Below are 19,609 nucleotides of genomic sequence, written 5' to 3'. Positions count from 1 at the left end.
TTCAGCCAATCTCTTTAAATTATACCTTTTTTGTTGTTTATATGTGCTTTATGCCATTTCAAAATAAGGAATTTTAAGTGAGTCTCAAGATGTCACAGTAGCCCCATGATGCATTTTTTTAGTGCAAATTTTTTGGAGTACAACATCAAGTCTTTAGTAGGTTATCACAAAACCTTTGCCTTTCTCTTACAATATGATTTCATTTATAGTTCTCTTCTTTTAAATAAATCAGTGGCATATCCAACACTCATGTGGAGAAAATTATAATGTTATCTAATGCAATACCTTAGGGAACTCATTTTTTAACAAGACTGATGTATATGATACAAATAGAGTTTTCTAAAATAATCAGAGAATGTCAAACGTTCACAAATTTTGTTTGAATGTAATCCATTGTAAAATGGAGCATGCGATGAGATTTAGTCATTAGAATCTTTATGCTGAAACTCTGCTTCATATTCTAGGCATTTGATTTTGAGTTAAGGCAATATACTCACTTCATACTGATACTCATCTCTTTAATTTCTTTAGTACTAAGGACTGCATACTGCATATGCTATCTTTTTTATTGTTTTCAGAGTGAGACAGTTGTTAAATAGTACTGAATTTTATTGCACAGGATTTCATAATTGAGATTAATTGTAAATACAGCAGTATGGAGCTCAGCATTGCAGAAGTTTGAGAGAAAGGAGTATCCCAATGACAGATGTTCAATTGTCGGAGTCTCACATGGTGATATTCACTTTGGTGGATTCACCCAGCTCTTGCCTTTGTCTGTTTCTTAGTTTGGTGGTTCTCAGAGATGGCAATGTAAGCTGTACCAGTTCTGCTAAGCATTTTTGCAGACAATTGTACTATTATTCAGATCAATATCACTACAAATTCTTGGTCTAAGCTTTAACTTTTACTTAAGATACTAAGCAGTTTGCCCTTGTTTTCCTAATCATGTTTCTGCCATTAATCATACCAGGTTTTTAAAAAGGCAACTCTCTCAAATCTGTTACCAAGCTGCCTCTCTTAATTAATAACTTCACCTTCTTCTTTAAAGAAATAATAACAATCATGAGCATTTTTCAACATCTGGCCACCAAACTAGCAAATCTGCCTGTAGCTGTCCTCAGGCTTTCCTCCTTCCTTCCTCCCAAAACAGAAGATTTGTTTCACTTCCAGTCTAAGCCTATTCCATTCATTTTGCTCCGATCTCAAATCTCTCACACTCCCTGGATCCTCCAGAAACTCATTACATTAATTACTCTTTTGCTCTCCTGTACCCTCAAATGTGTCTTATCTACTGAATTATTATCAGAAGCATTTAAATGTGTTCAGGGATCTGTTCTTCCTCACACAAGCAACAAGGCTCACTTTCTGGTCTCTTTCTTCCCTTTATGGCCAAACTTCTGGAAAGATACGTTGGCATTCACCTCCTTCTTCTTCTCATTCAATAGCCAATGACAATCATTTCATTAAACCAACCACCATTTCACTAAACCTGCTTAGCATTAGTTACATGTGCTATCCCTCTCATTAGAACACTTTTCCCATGTATTGTCTGGCATCACTCTTTCCAGATATTTCTGTAACCATTTTGATTACTTTTTCTCAGTCTCTTTTGTAGACTCGTCTTTACCTACCCAATCTGTTTTTCTCTGTGTTCTCTTTTAAACTTCAAATCATAACTATATTCTGATCACTGCCAGATGCACATTTACAGCTCAAAAACCTATCCTATATTTCAGACATATTTATCCACCAGCTTGCTCGACATCACCACATGGACCGGTACCTCAAATGAATTATGTCTTAAGCCTGCTCCTCCTGCAGTGTTCCTTTATTTAATGAACAATACCATCTACCAAATGGTCCACACACACTAAAAAATGAGTACGATGTTTATGTGCTCACTCTCCTTTGCCACTCTCATCTATTTAGCCATCAGGTCCTGAGGAGTTTTCCTTCTGAAGAGCTCTCAGCTGTGGCTTCTCTAGATCAGGTTACCATCAGTTCTTCTCTGGATTGCCATGACCTCTCTTGAAATATGTCTTTTTCCTCCAGTGTTGTCTTTACTGTCTCTCTCTTCATTTCTGAATTCTCCACACCAGAGCTAGAGTTTTCTTTCTACAATCCAACTGATTCTATCACTTCTTAAATTAAAACTTTTGCTACTGGATGTGAATTATCAGAGATTTGTGTAACAAGTCAGAACTCACAGCAAGAAGAGTTATTTGATCTTCACAAGTTCGGGCACATTATTCCTTCCAAAGTACATCTGCAAAAGGAACAATGGCTCTTTCTAGGCATTTTCTAGGCTTTTAAGGATGACCACTGTCACTGCTCTGCCTCATATTTTGGTAAATGTATGTGTGTTTAAATATGTTAATACCTTCAGTAAGTCAAATCTAGACAACCCATGAATTGTATCTCTTACGTATACATGAGGATTAACTAGGTAGTGTAACCCTTTGGGAGCAATCTAATTTATCTTAATTCTATACTGTGATATCTATGTTGTTTCCCCAGGTACTTCTTGCACCTGTGACGCTATACATCACTTTAACTGTACCTCTTTTATAACATATAAAAACATTGAGTCCCAGAGATATTAATAGAGTTATCCAAAGCAAGACTGGGACCCACAGTTCCTAACTCTCAAGTCATTATAGCCTCCACTGTATATTGCTACATCTCTAGACATATAACCCAAATTTATTCATTACTTAGGTCCTTTGCGTGTGGCAGATGTACTTAAGAATTTTATATGAGAATATTTTTGTATTCCTGATGTTTTTATTTATTTGTTAAAAGAGAAAAATGCAAACATTTTAACAATCCAAAAAATAATGCTTTACTGCACAACTTTTATTTAAAAAGAACCCTGAAATATGGTATGATATGGCCAAATTCTTACTGCTATTAAAAAATCGTTTCTTTGTGTTTGCAAAAAAATTTTTACTGGCTATTCTAAGTTTTTAGTGATCTAGTTTATCAGTATTTCAGATACAGCTAAATTGTCTAATAATTCTAAAAATGTCTTTTCCCCAAGAAAGACACAAATTTTAAATAATTACAATTAAAACTAAAAAATATAAATTTCTGTGTATTCAGTAACATAAAAATTATGTGAAGCAGAGTATAACTTAGATTCTTAAAAACTTTCTTCTAACATCAGTATTTTCTAAAAAATAGACATATATGAGAGTAATATTAGAATGTTTTGAAATGTCAACAATGAATACATGTTATTAAAAAAAATTGAATATTACTTGTTCCTGGTATTATGCTTGAAATAAATATAATACATATATGGAAGCAGTCAACTAGATACTGTTTGCTAAGATTCAGAAGAATATGGATCCTGCTGACTGGCACTGATTACTCTGAATCTCTTTGTTTCTTTTTGTTTTAAAATAAAGGAGGAAATATATGTAGAGCTGATGAGTTCCTTTGCAATAATTCTCTCTGCAAACTACATTTCTGGGTGTGTGATGGAGAGGACGACTGTGGAGACAACTCTGATGAAGCCCCTGATATGTGTGGTATGGCATTTCACGTGGCTCTAGATTATACTTTTATCTTCTGATCTCAGGCACCAGCATGAATCAATGAAGTGGGGAGGTGAACTACCAATTATACCATCCTGGGGTTAGGTAGATAAAGTATAACCACAGATACAGCTTTTGTTCAGGTAATAAAGGGATAATCCGGTTCCGAAGTTATGACTTTATAGAGACTCATCCTAAATCTGAACTTGCACATGTCAACACTATTCAGAAGAGAGATTATGGTCTCTTTGGGTGGGTTTAGAGTAATTGACATTTTAATTGAATAAGATTCATATAATAATTTTGGCTTCACATCAAATTGGAGTTTAGGTTAATTTTGGAGGGATACAGATAAGCAAATTAAAAATATATAAATAATAAAATCTCATAGTTTCACAAGCCACCCACTAATGAAATATCTCTGTATCTATCAATCATCTATCTGTATATCTATCTATCCACATATCTGTCTATATCATTACAAGTCCTAAACACAGAACTGAAATTAGGAGTTATTTAACATTTAAACTTAAAAAGTCTTAACAAAAGTTATTGTTTCTCCAAATTCAAGTTTCTCCAAATTGACTGACATTTGTCCGGTGTATGCTTATGAGACCAACAAATATAAAAGTCTAATTTTAGATCAGCAACATAAAGGATCTATTTTAATGAACATTTTTGGTCCCTGTTATCATACTTTTTATCTAATCTCTGCAAGAAATGCAGTTTCGCCTATACTTTAAAGGAAAATGCTGCCACATCAGATATAACTCAGTGGCACACCAGGTAAATAAAGAAAATACAGCATGAGTGTACGTACTTACACTTTTTGTTCTGTTTGTTGCATCAAGTTAAGGCAATATTTAGATATAGATGGTGACATTTCACTACTGAAATACAAAAGTGCAGGGAAAAATACAAAAATGCAGGCAGCTTTATTTTGTTAAGTACTTAAAAGTTGAAAAAAAACAGGTTTTGGAGAGTTTTTTTCTATAGATACAACTCATTATGATGAGTAATGCAACTAAGTTTCAGCTTCAGTTTTCTTTACATAATCTTAGAAATAAACTCTGGGTAATCACCAGGGATTAGATTGTTTCTGAATCATAAAATATTTAACAATATGAGAGCTTATCTACCAACATCAATCCAGAAGCTATTATTTTTATCAATTATGTGATTTTTTTTCTATTCTCTATTCCACTTGACCACAAAACCAGTGAGTGGAATAGGAAATTTTCAATAATTGATGTACAGCTGCAGAGTCATATTCTCCTAGAGCTGCTTCCAGGGCCATGAACTGATTCTCAGGAGCATTCCACACAGCACAGATGGGAAACCTTGTAAAATCCAGATTGACTGTCTGAACATTTTTGCGTTTCTCTCAGTGAGCAATATCAACATTGAGTCAAGCTATTATGTGCCAGAAATTGTGCTAATTAGGACAACAAAAGGGTTCTTTTTGACAAGGAGATCTTATTCTGGCTGGACAAATAAAAATAATTTTCATACACTCTATTTCCAGCAATGATAGAATTAATTAAAAGTATGGAAAAGGCACAGAGAGATTCAATGAACTCTACCTAAAGAACAATTCAGAAAGCTACAGTGTTGAAGGAGCTAGACTAAAAGACATCTTAAGCAAAGTGAATAGCATGAGAAAAGGTGTCATTCATTCATTCATTCATTCAATAGACATTTGTTCAGCAAGAGACCATGATTATTTTGGTGATATAATGATGAAAGAAGTGAACACGAACCCTCACCTCACAGAGCTTAGAATCTAGTGGAAGATGGATATTAATGTGCACAAAAATATATACTTACAAACTGTGATACATACTATAAAGTATAGTAATTTGTAAAAGTATGGAACAGAAAGACTTTATCAATCATAGAGTATGAGAAATAACATTTTAGTTCAGGCCTGGGAAATATTTAGCTGCTGAATAGATGAAAAGGCTTGAGGTTGGGAGTGAAAGTGTGATACAAAATTGCGGACAAAGGAAATAAGATTTGTGAAAGCTCTGGGCAGAGCAAACCATGGCTTACTCAAGGAACTGAAGGATCCATGTTCCCAGAGGGCACAGAGCCAGGTAGCTACAGGCACTCCTGGATTTACCAGATTGTAGCCAGATAAACCTATTGTAAACAGGAAATAATGTAAATTGACAGTGTGTGTTTGACTTAAAAATATTTTCAACATATAAAGGATATATCAGGACATAATCCCATAGTAAGTAGAGGAGAACATGTATTGCTTTCACACTGTCATAAAGTCAGAAAACCTTAAATTGAACTATTGTTAAATTGGAGATCATCTGTATTTGCTTAGGATGAAACTAGAGACAGCAGAGATACCTGCAACCTTGGGGATTCTAAATTTTAGCTGGAAAGTAATTGGAAATACTAAGGAGTTTTAAGCAGAGGAGGTCCATGGTCATATTTAAAGTTTACAAATATGGGATAGAAAGGATTAATAGTGGTTAACACCATGGCGGCACTTTAGGCAAGCTATGTTAGTAGCTTGGGTTGAGATGACAACAGCCTGTGCTAGCACAATATAGACAGATTTGAAGATGATATAAAAGGCAGAATAAATTGGATTAAATGACGGATTGGATATGGTGAATGAGAGACAGCAAGTTGTGGGGTATAATGTGTATGTTGTTTTTGCTTTCCCATTTGAATGGAAAGGGTCACAGGAAAGGGAACAGTTTTGCAAGTAAAGATTAGAAGACTGGACTGTGATGCATTTGAGGAGACATTCGAGTAGAGATTTCAAGTAGGCATTAGATGCTTGAATCTCACATTGAAAGGAAAGAGGTAGTCTACAGATATAAATTCAACAACCAGCATAAAATGTGGTATTAAATACAATGGAATATTCAAGATTACGCTGTGTGGAAATAAAGATAGGTCAGGAAGGGGATTATCAAAGAATATTGAGTGACAACAAGCCCCTAAGTGAAGATGAGCTGGCAGAAGAGACTCAGGTAAGTGACCACAGAAGGCACTGCAAAAAAGAAGAGTGAGGCACCAGAGACACCAAAGTAATAACATGTTTCAGCAAAGATGTGATGGTTTCTGCAGAGGCATGGGAAAATGAGTTCCAGAAAAATGATTACTTTTACATAGGAAACAACTATTCTTCTGTCTCTGCTCTTAAAATATAGAAATGAGTTGACAGACTACATGTAGATACAGGTAGATCTGTAATTATTTAATAATATCTTAAGAAATTTCCCATCTTTGTATTTCTACTTATTTTTGTTATATATATATATATATATATATATATATATATATATATGCTTTCCAAGTAGCATTGATAAATATTCATACTTGGTGGTATCAGTTGGCCTTGTAGTATGATCATCTGCAACATTTCTGGCTTCCCAGATGCAGATATTGGGAGAGCAGGTGGTTTCGCTCACCTAAATTTAGGGTTATTTTGGATAACTGAGATGAAAAAGAGAAAAGGGCCAGAGAATCCAGGTTATTGGGAAGAAAGTGGGTTTCTAAACTTACCTAGTACTTAGAGCAGTATCCAACATATTATAGGTTACTATAAATATTAATGGGGAGAAAAGTACAGACAAAATCATTGGTGAATAGGGAAAAGGTAGTTACATCGATGAGCTAGAATTAAGATAAAGCTGAAGAGTTGTTGCAATGATAGTGATTGGATTAAAAATCATTAAAGAGATTGTGCTCAAAATAGGACATTCTAGTAGTGGTTTTACAAATGAAGTAAATTATAGGAAACAGCAAATTTATGCTGCAACTGTTTCTATAAGTTAGCATTCTTAACAGCAAGCAACAGAAACTGCCACTGTGAATCAAAAATAGAAATTTGTTGAAATTCACCAATGTAAACAACGTCCTAGGAGAGTGGTGGCTTACGTAAGATTAGAGTAAAAGGACATAGGGTATAAGAAACTTAAGGAGCTAAGAAGCCTCACTGGTTGGTTTCCTCATGTGAATATTGAAGTCATCTGAGTTGCTGGAATGAATTTAAATGGAGATCTTAAAAGACTATGCTGGAATGTGCTAGTCTTCAGTAAACTGGGGCGGAGGTGGTGATTTTGAAGTTAATTAGAAAATAGCAGCAGCGTGAAGATATAATCAAATATCTAGCCTTCAAAATAACATTATTTTGTTTTAGTTTATTTTAGAAAATAGAAAGTAAAGATAGGATAAAGCTATGGAAGCTGTAGTAGGAAATGAGGATGTTTTCAAACGTGAGGTGACATAAGGTTTGAGCAAATTAAGAGACATTCCTAAAAGACCTAAAGAGGAGGGAGTATATTTGGAAAATGGACCAAATTTCACTTAAAGCAAGGAGGTCAGGGATGGAGTGTAACATATTTAAGAAGCTGTAATAAAGCAATATTGCTCAAATATTGAGAGGGACAAGGGATGAGTCTGCAGGATTGGCACGAGCAAGATAGTGACAAGTCTATTAGGCCATTCAAAATATCTTAAATTGTATTCTCAAGGAAATTGATAAATGTAGAATAAATGGTTACATGAATATGTTAAACTGATTTTTCTCATGGCTTTTTGAGGATCTGAGGATGGAATATGAAGCTGGAGACATTTAGGATATCTCTCTGTAAAAGATCATAAACAGCTAAACTATTTTGATTGTAACTGGTGAGATGGCTAGAAGATGCCAAACCTGGGGACAATAGCAACAGGACTTGGTGACTACTGAGAATTGATGGTCAATGAGAGGAATACATTAGAATAATTCCAGACTTTTGGCTATGATATGCCACTAACTGAATGATGGAAATAAAACGTGTTTGAGAACAAGGGGTAAGACGAGATGATAAAGAGCTGAGTGATGAGCTTGTTAAATTTGAAACTATTGAGGGGATGTCCTACAACCAACTGAGATGTTTGAACTAGATAGAGAATTGAAAGTCTTCAGGATGTAGTAAATCAATGAGAGTGAATAAACATAACTAAGCAAATAATTCAAGAGTGAGAACATCAGGGGAACAAGGACAGAATCCTGGGTAACTTCACATCTAAGGATGAAGACTAATGACAGATACTTCCTGCTTTAAGAGTGGAAGTCTTCAGATTAGATAGTGATAAGGAGACAAATGTAAAATTCCCTGGCTTTCATTGTGGTCTTTTTAAATACACACAAAAACATGTACTTTAAAGATGAATAACTAAGATCATATATGTGCCTCAAATACATATCTAAACTTTTGTTTACAGAGACAAAGAGTAAGAAATCAAGTTAGAATATTGTTGGGATTTTTGTTTGTTTTCACTGAATGACCTATTTTCAATTTTGGGCCTGTAACATATGCTTGCTCCGGCTCTATGCTGTGTGAAATTGCTCTTTGAGATAGCTAAGTGTCCTGCCATATTGCATAATTGTAGGCATAAATTAATTTGTTACACTAAGTGAAGTCAGCTAAGATAAGGCATCTGGGAATGAGACCATACAGTTTGGCTCTTTCGTATTTCCTTTAAGATCCTCAGCTGTGCACATTTTTCTGTAGTTAATAACTAGAATCATCACATATTTTTCTGGTAGCCACTAGTAGGCAATTGTCACAACAAAAAAGATATTTAGAAAAGCTAGCTTATGGATTTGAAAAGAATAAAAGAAAAAGGAAGAATGTTCTTCATAAAGCAATGTACTCGAAGGAGCTTCTTTGTTTTTTCTTCTTTTTCTTCAGTCAAATTTCTTTGTCCATCCACGAGACCTCACAGATGCAGAAATAACAGAATATGCCTACAGTCGGAGCAAATGTGCAATGGGATTGATGAATGCGGTGACAATTCAGATGAAGATCACTGTGGTGGTAAATGCATTTAATGTGAAATAATTCAGTGATGGCTATGAGGTTCTCTGATGACTTGGAGTACAAACATTTTAAAAAATACATTTCTTATGTGGACATCTGAGGGCATTATTTTCAGACATTTGATCTTCTGACAAGGTATAAAAATATTCCACCAGCATTTCATTTGCCTTATAGGTGTGCACCTTTATCCATAGTTCCCACTAACCCTTTATTCTAGAAAATATTCATCCCGGAGAAACAATATAGAGATTTTTAAATGCTCCTTGTTTAAAGACTTAATTTTTTGAAGAAAGGGAGCTTATATAGATTGTATGTCTATGCAATTCTTTTTTCTGAATTCCGAAGTTCAAAAAGTTTTTAATGCAAAAGACTTATGTATGCAGCAAAATCATCTGGAGACAAAGCTTGACCTGACCTAATTGGAGCCATTTAATATCACCCTCTAAAAAAATTACACTTAGGGTAAATATTTTAAAATTTTTCTGTAGATATCAGTGTTATTTACTTAAAGTAAACACACAGTTACTTTTCTAAAATCCAAAAATTTCAGAATGTTTAAAAATTTGGCCTTGAGAGCTTCAGATAAAGGATTGTAAACCCATGTTTTTCATAGTAGTTAGTAAAATTTTGGAGCTATTACATGCTCAATAAGAGTGTTTTGATTCTGTGAAGCACTAATCATTTTTTGTATGACTCTATAGGTAAGCTGACATATAAAGCAAGGCCTTGTAAAAAGGATGAGTTTGCTTGTAGTAATAAAAAATGCATCCCTATGGATCTCCAGTGTGATCGACTTGATGACTGCGGAGATGGTTCAGATGAGCAAGGATGCAGAATAGGTGAGCTTGTTTTCTGTTAAGCAAAGCACCGGGATACACAAGTCTAACTTCTGCTTGTACATGACTAAAATGTTCTGGATGGAAATATTGCTCTTCAAAGTATGCTTGACTGATGCCCTTTTTCAAAAACCTTTGCCAAAGCAACATTAGAATATTACTTAATTTCAGAAAGTATGAAGTGGACAAGGTTGGCTTTGTAATGAGTACCCTTGTTAAAGCAGAAGCTGAGAAATCAATATTCAAATATCGAAGTTGATGTCAGCAATGTAATCTATATCATTTAGTAATTTATCTTATACAAATTTAGTGTTAAGTTTTATAAACGGTGATATTTAGTTGAATGATAGTAAAGGTCTTAATTTTTTCAATGTTAAAAAAAATTTAATCCATTGCTGAGTCATTCTTACAGAAGATGTGATTTTTTTTTTTAGTTACAGTGCCATGATACTTGAGTTATTACCTGCTGATTGCGAATAGTTTGTGTCTAATGCTTGGTATTTGATTTTTTATATTAAAGAAAAATAATTAAATGTATGATCCTAAATTCAGTTTGCTTACAAAAGTCACACAATATTTCCTACTTTTACATCTTTTTTTTTTAATTTATGCATCTAAAACTTTCCTCATTTAGGGATGAAGCAATACCCACCAGGATATGGCTGCATGTGTCTAAACCATGGTATCATTCCACTGACCTATTTTAACTAATTGCAAAATATTCAAGTCAGTGGGGTTACAACGATAATAATTAAAGTTCTCACATTTCTCAAAAATTTGATTTAAGTAACTTAGAGATGATATGATGTCTCTATAATAATGTCCCTCTCATTTATTTAAAAGAGAAGGCCTTCTAAAATGTTTTCCTGAATGGGAGATAAAGTAATAAAATTGCAACTGCTATCCTGGAAATTACAAGTAACTTTTTGTCTGTCCTAAAATGTTGCAGCTTATGACCAACCATTATGAGCACATTACACACTCAAATGTTACTCTTCATATGTATGTCCAGCATAAAAAAATGAAATTTAAACTGCTGATTTAGACAACTTGCTTGAGTAACTTAGCAGTACCCTTGATTGAGTTTACAAATATTAAGCTTAGGTTAGCAATAAATGCCTAAATTTCTAGGTAGCTTATAGGAAATGCTTTGGCTCTCAGAGAAGGATGTAGTACTCATATATCGTACTATAATAAAGATAGCCTGTCATTAGAATCATTGACTCCTGACTTATTTTTAAAAAGTGTTACAGCTTAACAGCAGCTCTAAATATCAACTGTTAGCAGCTTGGTCTAATCTGTATTTAATGTTAATGAGTTTAGTTTTTATACTTCTATACATTTATAAGACATGGGGGCTTATATGGAGAGAAGACCGTAACCTTGTACATTCAAAAAGAGTTATCTGTGGAATAATAAATACCATTTCAAACATTTTTTAAAAGTTAACTCCCCACTTCAGGAATTAGAATTATATTAGTTTTGATCATATTTTTAAATCCCAGCTCCTACTGAATATACCTGTGAAGATAATGTGAATCCATGTGGAGATGATGCATATTGTAATCAAATAAAAACATCTGTTTTCTGTCGCTGTAAGCCTGGATTTCAGAGAAACATGAAAAACAGACAATGTGAAGGTAGAGTACTTTTCTTCAACAGTTTGCTCATAAATCTTTGGGTTATGAAGATTCCCAAGACTTCTAAATTGTGAGATCACAGGGGATTGACTTTCATCAAAATGGTGTGTATCTACGGGATACCATTTCACTTATGAGAATGAAAGTCTCTGGGGTCAAGAGCTTGTTTGTGGAGCTAAGCTAACCACGACAGAGGCTACAAAGCTTTTTCTATAGCAAATTCAGAGCTGCAGGAATTTCAATTCTATTGCTACAATACTGTTTTGAAATGCAAATAACGAAATTCCTGGTTCAGGAACTATTGGAGAATTAGTCTTGCTTCATGAAAAAATATGTTTATGATGACCCATTTCTCTTGAGTGTGGAATTTGCAATACTGGAATAGGTAAATCACATTTAGAGAGTCATGGGCTTTTGTCCTAAAACCATGTTTTAAATAGATCATAATGTATCTTTAAAAATTCAAAGTCAGGATCTACATAAATCTGTCAACTTACTTGAGATCATTTAAAAATTGAGCATGTAGGATAGCCAAAATCTTATAGTAAGTAAGTAAATATAATTACATCAGTGTTCTAACTATAGAACCATGAAATACAGACCCATATGCACTTTCTGCAAGTTTCTCCAATAAAACTGCTATTTGTATTCATATTCATATTAATGTAAGTACAGCCAAACCTAAAATAACTAAGTCTGGCTTATCCAGGCTAAATTCAAGTCTTTAAGTGCTTTTACCTACCAGCTTGCTTTTGTTATGTCTCTTTGTGATATTTTGAGGTTAAGAAAAATGATTCTACTTCGTGTTAATCAAAATGGAATTATTTAAATGAATTGATTCTACTCACCCAAAAGGGGAAAAAGTGTAGTCACGTCATGTTTATCTACATTTTGAGTTAAATGTGTATTTGGATTATTCGTGACATTTGATTGTTCCATTACTATGAGACTGAAAGATGACAACCTAGGTTTTCTGTGTTTTAGTTAAAAAATGAATTATCTTTCAAACTATGGTATTTATTTTTCCCAGGCTCTTTCTATCAATTACATATAAACACACACACACACAATTCTTTCAATATTTTAATTTCAATAACATTTATTTTCTAATATTTGTCAGTGGGTTTTTTCTGTATATATGTACTAAATTTAGAAATTATATTATTAAAGTTTTCTTAATTTTTAATTACATTCCACAGCAAATATAACCTGCACACTACATTCTTTATTTTAAATTGCTATGAATCCACTTTTTTGTATTATTTTGTAGGACAGACGAGTAACTTCTGAACTCTAATAAAATGTTCATCTATTTTTAATAAATAAAGTTTTGATTTTAAGGAAAATAGTTCTATTTCAGTGTCAAAGAAGGGTAAGACATAATTGGATTCTATAATCCAAAAATTTAAATTTGTTTGTGCCCTTCACTTATGTATCTGAAAAAATGCATAAGAAATTGCTATTTGATGTTAAAGCCCAAACACTTCAATTAGAATATCTAAAGGGAAAAAAGTAAAGAGGAATGGTGGAAGAAAATTAGAAGGGGATTAACAGTTGCTGAGTGCCAGGTACTGTTTTGGGTACTAGGCATGTGTGGAATTCCTCCATCCCCTTCAAAAGCTCATGATCCAGGCTTTCTAGAGATGAGGCGAAAATGATGGTTCAGGCCAGTATAATGACAAGTGAGGAAGTTGAGGTTGTATGAAATCATGCAGAATACTGCTTATTTGGATTCTGTACCAAAGGGAAACCATAGTGACAAATAACTGCCGGTTCAAAGTTACAGGGGCTGAACAAATCAGAAATATTTGTTGTAATCGTGATGGTTAAGTACTGACAAGATGCATTCTACTTCATTCCTGTAAAATATTTATTAAAAACAACGAAATACACTTTTCTGCATCTCTTTACTCTACATTTCAATCAAATAGCAATGTGTGGTCATGAAAATGCTTATGTGTTCTTAGGCAAAGTATCACAGTAAAGTCAACAAAATCAGAAAACCTGAGTTTAAGCCTTGACGTTGTGATTTACAAGTGTCTCTACCTCTGAGCCCTTAGAACATTGTTTGTGTGCTACGCAAAAGATAGTTATTCTTACTGTGCTGATTCTTAAGTTCTCTAATTCAAGGGAAGGATTTATCTCACAGATTTATTAGGTAATTAGGAGATTATAAGTGATAAAATGAGGCAGGGGAAATATGCTGGCTAAACACAAAAGTAGAGGAGGAAAAGAGAGGAAAATTAGATAATTCCCTAGAATCACCTGGCCTCAATCCTGGCTCTTCATAAGCCCTTAAAATTAGAGTCATGTGCCAAGCTACATGACTCTGATTAAATCACATGAATACTGCCTGTGATTTATTTATTTATGCTAGTGATTTAGAGGTATTTATTCATATATAGGCATGCAGATTTTGCTTGCTTAATTCACATCACATAACCTCAATACAGCCCTTCTTGTTACGTAGTCACTTCATATATATGAGTCCAGAAGTGTGTTAGAGATGTGCCCAAATCTTTGTTCTCTGCCAGTCATTGTGCAAAATCTGGCAATAAAAAAGGAATGTATCATAATTTATGTCCTCAAGGGAATATGAATATGTAACCACATTCCTGAAATATAAGCAACAGTGTAAGAGAGAAACACCAGGAGAGCAAAAACTGGAGAAACTAAGGATGAATCATCACTCCCATATATGGTTGGAGACCAAGGAAGGCTTTATTTCAGGTGGATCTTGAAAGATGAGTAGAAATTCTGTATGGAAAAGTGGGCAAGGGCATTACGGGATGAAAGAATAGCCCATGATACCTTCGAAGGCATGGAGGTAGGTCATCAGAAACAGCTTAAAAGAAAACCTCAAGACAGGTCTATTTGCGTGAATGGAAATCTATACAACAAACCCCCATGGCACAAGTTTATCTAGGTAGCAAACCTGCACTTGTATCCATGAACTTAAAAGGTAAAAAAATAAATAAGTAAAAATTTTAAGAAAGAAAAAAGAAAGCCCCAGGGAAGTTTGAAATTGAAGCTTTAATATTTTAAGTGGATTAATAAAAGCAATGACAATTGATAAATCTTCTACTACAAATATTGTGAAAAATGATTATACCTTCAAAAATATGACACAGCAGGTCACAGATTAAAGATGTGAAAGGACAATAAAGCTAGTAATAAGTTAAAAATAATTTTGGCTTTTTTGAAACGTGGTAAGAATAGGAGTCTGAATTGAGGGTATGATGATGCTATTTTGAGCTCTTCTTTTCTAGACCTTAATGAATGTTTGGTGTTTGGCACATGTTCCCATCAATGTATAAATGTGGAAGGATCATATAAATGTGTGTGTGACCAGAATTTTCAAGAAAGAAATAACACCTGCATAGCAGAAGGTAAGATTATAACCACTATTGCAAATCCTATTACAATTTTGTTGTAAACATTTTATGGAGAAAAATGTTTTATATTTCATTCCAGCAACAGCTTCATTTCTGATAAAATACTTTTAATGATGATTAATTTGGCCAGTTGGTTAGTTAATATTAATGAATTTAATCTTAGATGGTTTATGGAAATGACTATGAAATATATGGTTACTGTTAAAATCACATTGTGTCATTGTGTTCAAAACAATTTTTCAAAAGGGGTAAAATTTTAAAAGCCAGTGTGATAGAATGTGAAGTATCTCTCTTGATGGTCTGCTCTAAGGGAATATGAGAAAAATTATACCCCAGGGATAAAAATAAACATTAGCATTATAAGGAGAAAGGAATTTTGAGTAAGGATTTTAAAGGTTTTAAAACAAGATCTTGCTTTCAAATTTAGAAGTCCTCCACTTACCAATATTATTTTTTAAAAAGATTAAATGATAGGCCTGGTGCAGTGGCTCATGCCTGTAATCCCAGCACCTTGGGAGGCCAAGGCGAGTGGATCACGAGATCAGGAGTTCAAGAACAACCTGACCAACATGGTGAAACCCCGTCTCTACTAAAACTACAAAAATTAGCCAGGCGTGGTGGTACACACCTGTAGTCCCAGCTACTTGGGAGGCTGATGCAGGAGAATCGCTTCAACCCAGGAGGCAGAGGTTGCAGTGAGCCAGGATTGCGCCACTGAACTCCAGCCTGGGTGACAGAGCAAGACTCCATCTCAAAAAAAGAAAAACAAACAAACAAAAAAAGATTAAATGATAAACTAGGGTTCTGGGCAATTGTAGGTATAGATTTTAATATTCATGTGTTTATGCTAAATAATACTGTAACTTCAATATTGTTGGCTACAAAGTATGATTGGACATTATTAAGATTGTTATTACAAGAAGAAAACAGGATGATGTAATGGATCAACTGTGGGCTATAGCATTTGATATGCTTGGATTTGAATCCCAGCACAGCACCTTTTAGACTGTGTGGCCTCAAGGAATTCACTAAAGTGTCAGAGCCTCAGTTCAGTTTCCATAGTTATAAGAAGTGGAGATAAACTGTGAAAGGCTTAACATAGCGTCTGACACATAATAAGCATTTGCTAAGTGACAGCTATTAACATTACAGAGCTGAAAGGCACCTCATGAGGTATTATTATTATTATTTATTTGCAGAAACTATGTATGCAATCGAACATCTCTTTAGGGCTTCGTTAATATTTTAATTGATAATTTTGGCATTTGCTTTAGGGTTTTACTTGTTAGTATGAAAATGACATTAGTACTCTATTGTAGGTGTCAAAACTTTAGAATAGAATGTTACACTTAGCAGGATTCTAGATAATTTAGAGATTATAGAACTTTAATGGAATAAATACTGATATCTTTTTATGTTAAAAGTTAGTAAGCATTTAAGATGTATAAATACAGTAAGAGGAAGATTCTTCATATTTTAATTTTTATTTCTTAGCCTAAAGTAATGATCACTCAGGTGCATAAATTAAGTAATCAGAAACTTTTGAAGCTTAATGAGTATACAACATAGTACTTGGATATTGACAATTGATGCATTATAACCTAGTGTATTGTGACTTATCAAATAATAATCTCTCTTCATAAAAGGACATTTATATGTACATAATTTCTAGCCATAAGGAAAGATTGGCAGTAGAAAAACCTCTATCAATAATTATTGTAAATGTTTAGATAAGTGAGTATCAGAAATAATAAGCCATAAAGACTAAAAGACAATATAAAACTGGTTGATTTTTGAGGAAAAACTGTATTAAGAATAATAATTCAAGATAATTTAAAAGTACAATTATTGCTTTTAACATTAGTTGAAATTTACTTTATTTTTGTATTTTATTATAATAATCTCCAGGCTCTGAAGATCAAGTTCTCTACATTGCTAATGACACTGATATCCTGGGTTTTATATATCCATTCAACTACAGTGGCGATCATCAACAAATTTCTCATATTGAACATAATTCAAGAATAACAGGGATGGATGTATATTATCAAAGAGATATGATTATTTGGAGTACTCAGTTTAATCCAGGCGGAATTTTCTACAAAAGGATCCATGGCAGAGAAAAAAGGCAAGCAAACAGTGGCTTGATTGTAAGTAAATACCATTGTATATTTGAAAGTCCATACCTTTTCCCCACCTGCTTTTTAAACAAAATTTATCTAATATAATATCTAATTATACTAAGTAATATATTCAATTATTCTCCCAATATTCTCCTTAAATAGAAATAATGCATTTCTCTACTCATTCTCATAGCTGTACATGATTTATTTTAGTTGCATGCTTTTATGTTTTTGCTTTAATGTATTTGACTATTATATAAGAATGCTAATGAATGACATATAACATCTCCAGAACATCTATTTCATAGTGCTTTACAATTATTATGAACATAAGCTTTTTTATCATGAGATGAGATTGGGAAACATCACTTTATTTTTACATTAGAAAGTAGCGTAATGCAGGGATAACTATTTCTCTTCTTACATTATCATAAATATACTTCTACTGTAGGGCAGGACATCAACTCAATAGTGTAACCATTTCTTCTGACTCCTGATAACTATATTTCAGGAAATATCCAAAACAGAAATATTGTGCACTTGTGTATGCTGGACATGTTGATTATCATGGTTATTGTTTTTGAGAAAAAATAAACTGGAACATGTTTCAATTTATGGTTGTAGATTAGATTATCCCTTTTTGTTTTAGGGCATGTCAAGTTATTGTGTGTTTTATATTTTTAAGTAACCTGGAAGGAAAATGACAGATAAATATGTGTTTTTATAGGGCCTGGCCCATTCCTGTACAACCAAAAAGTCAAGTGGTGTCCCAGCAGGATGTAATTGAAGCTTTGTGTTTAACAAAAATTAGAGGTTCCTATCTAGAAGTTCTCACTACTTTTTCTACTAGCATCTACCATAAACACTTGAACTACATAAATCCATTTGATGCAAATCTGGAATATACTTTATCAGCAGTAGATGGCAATATGCTGGTTTTAAAAGAAGCTATTTTAGCTTTCAAATTCGGATTTAGATTAACTTAGATGAAACCTTTGAGTAAAAATCCATGTATACCAGAATTGTTCAATTCCTATTCCCTCAAACACAATAGCTAACATTAACTTTCGTTAGCTCTAAAACAGAAATCTGCTTGTTGAAAACATTGCTTCTACGGTAACATGGCATCTGTTGTTAATGAATGGAGTATATACTGTGGACTTACCTTGGCTGAGTTTGAATCTTATTCCTGTTGCTTACTGGCCTCCTAGCTTCTTGGTACTCTCTATTTCAAGAGGTTCTAGTGATGATTCAATTTACATATTAGTATATTAACTATATACTAAAATTAATTGTATATAATTACATACAACTAATAAATAATATACATTAATTCTATGTATTTTATATACTAATGTTTAACTTTCTAGGTACATAGGAAGTATTATTTAGATGGATGCTATTAACAGGATGATTCTGTTGATGATGGTAATGACATTAATAATGATAATTGGCAAAATGTTCTTTGCTTCATATTAGCATATTAAAAATTATTTGCAATTTACATATCTGCATTTTACAATTGATAAACATAGACACATCTTCAATTTTGACATAATTTTTCAGAGAAAAGTCTTTGATTTTTATTTAGTTTTGTGCTTTGGGGAAATTGATTGTCCTTTAGTTCAGGGTTCTAGTTCAGGGGTCTCCAACCCCCAGGCCACAGACCGGTATCAGTCTGTGGCCATTAGGAACCTGGCTGCACAGCAGGAGGTTAACAGCTAGTGAGGGAGCTGAGCTCTGCACCCTGTCAGAGCAGTGGTGGCATTAGATTTTCATAGGAGCGCAAACCCTATTGTGAACTGTGCATGTGAGGAATCTGTGAAATGTGGATGCGAGGAATCTAGATTGCTGAGCTCCTTATGAGAATCTAATCCCCCACACACTCTATTCATAAGTAAATTGTCTTCCATGAAACTGGTCCCTGGTGCCAGAAAGGTTGGGGACCGCTGTTCTAGTGAACAGAATTCACAAAATTTATTGTAGATTAGAAGCCAAATTCACTCAATGTTTGGTAACTAAGTTTTCATTCTTATACATGCAAATATATTTATGTATTTTACTTGAATATTTATATGTGTATATTTTTACATATTTTATCTTTAACTTTATTAATGTGTTATAGAATCTTTCATATCCAATGGCAAAGCTGTTGATTAGACTTATTTGAATAGGATATAAAACTTTACTTTTAATGATAGTAATAACTTGTGTTATATCATCCAGACTTCCTGTGTTT

At 33.5% G+C, this 19,609-nt stretch overlaps 1 protein-coding gene across 4 annotated transcripts in view; it reads left to right on the top strand.

Annotated features, from left to right (window-relative positions):
• Positions 1-19,609, top strand: part of LRP1B (LDL receptor related protein 1B) — a 1,899,594-nt gene that overhangs the window by 1,762,823 nt on the left and 117,162 nt on the right. For 3 of the 4 annotated variants that reach the window (NM_018557.3, XM_017004341.2, XM_017004342.1), the window contains 6 exons: positions 3,411-3,533; positions 9,248-9,373; positions 10,078-10,215; positions 11,718-11,852; positions 15,122-15,241; positions 17,156-17,397. In NM_018557.3, the coding sequence (NP_061027.2) occupies positions 3,411-3,533; positions 9,248-9,373; positions 10,078-10,215; positions 11,718-11,852; positions 15,122-15,241; positions 17,156-17,397 (884 nt within the window). Of the gene's footprint in view, positions 1-3,410; positions 3,534-9,247; positions 9,374-10,077; positions 10,216-11,717; positions 11,853-15,121; positions 15,242-17,155; positions 17,398-19,609 lie in introns of those variants that run through there. The other variant, XM_047444771.1, reaches the window with a different exon arrangement.

This window comes from Homo sapiens, chromosome 2, assembly GCF_000001405.40.
Source record: "Homo sapiens chromosome 2, GRCh38.p14 Primary Assembly".
NCBI lineage: Eukaryota > Metazoa > Chordata > Mammalia > Primates > Hominidae > Homo > Homo sapiens.
The sequence above is the reverse complement of the archived record's forward strand: the minus strand, read 5'-3'. Positions and strand labels throughout refer to the sequence as shown.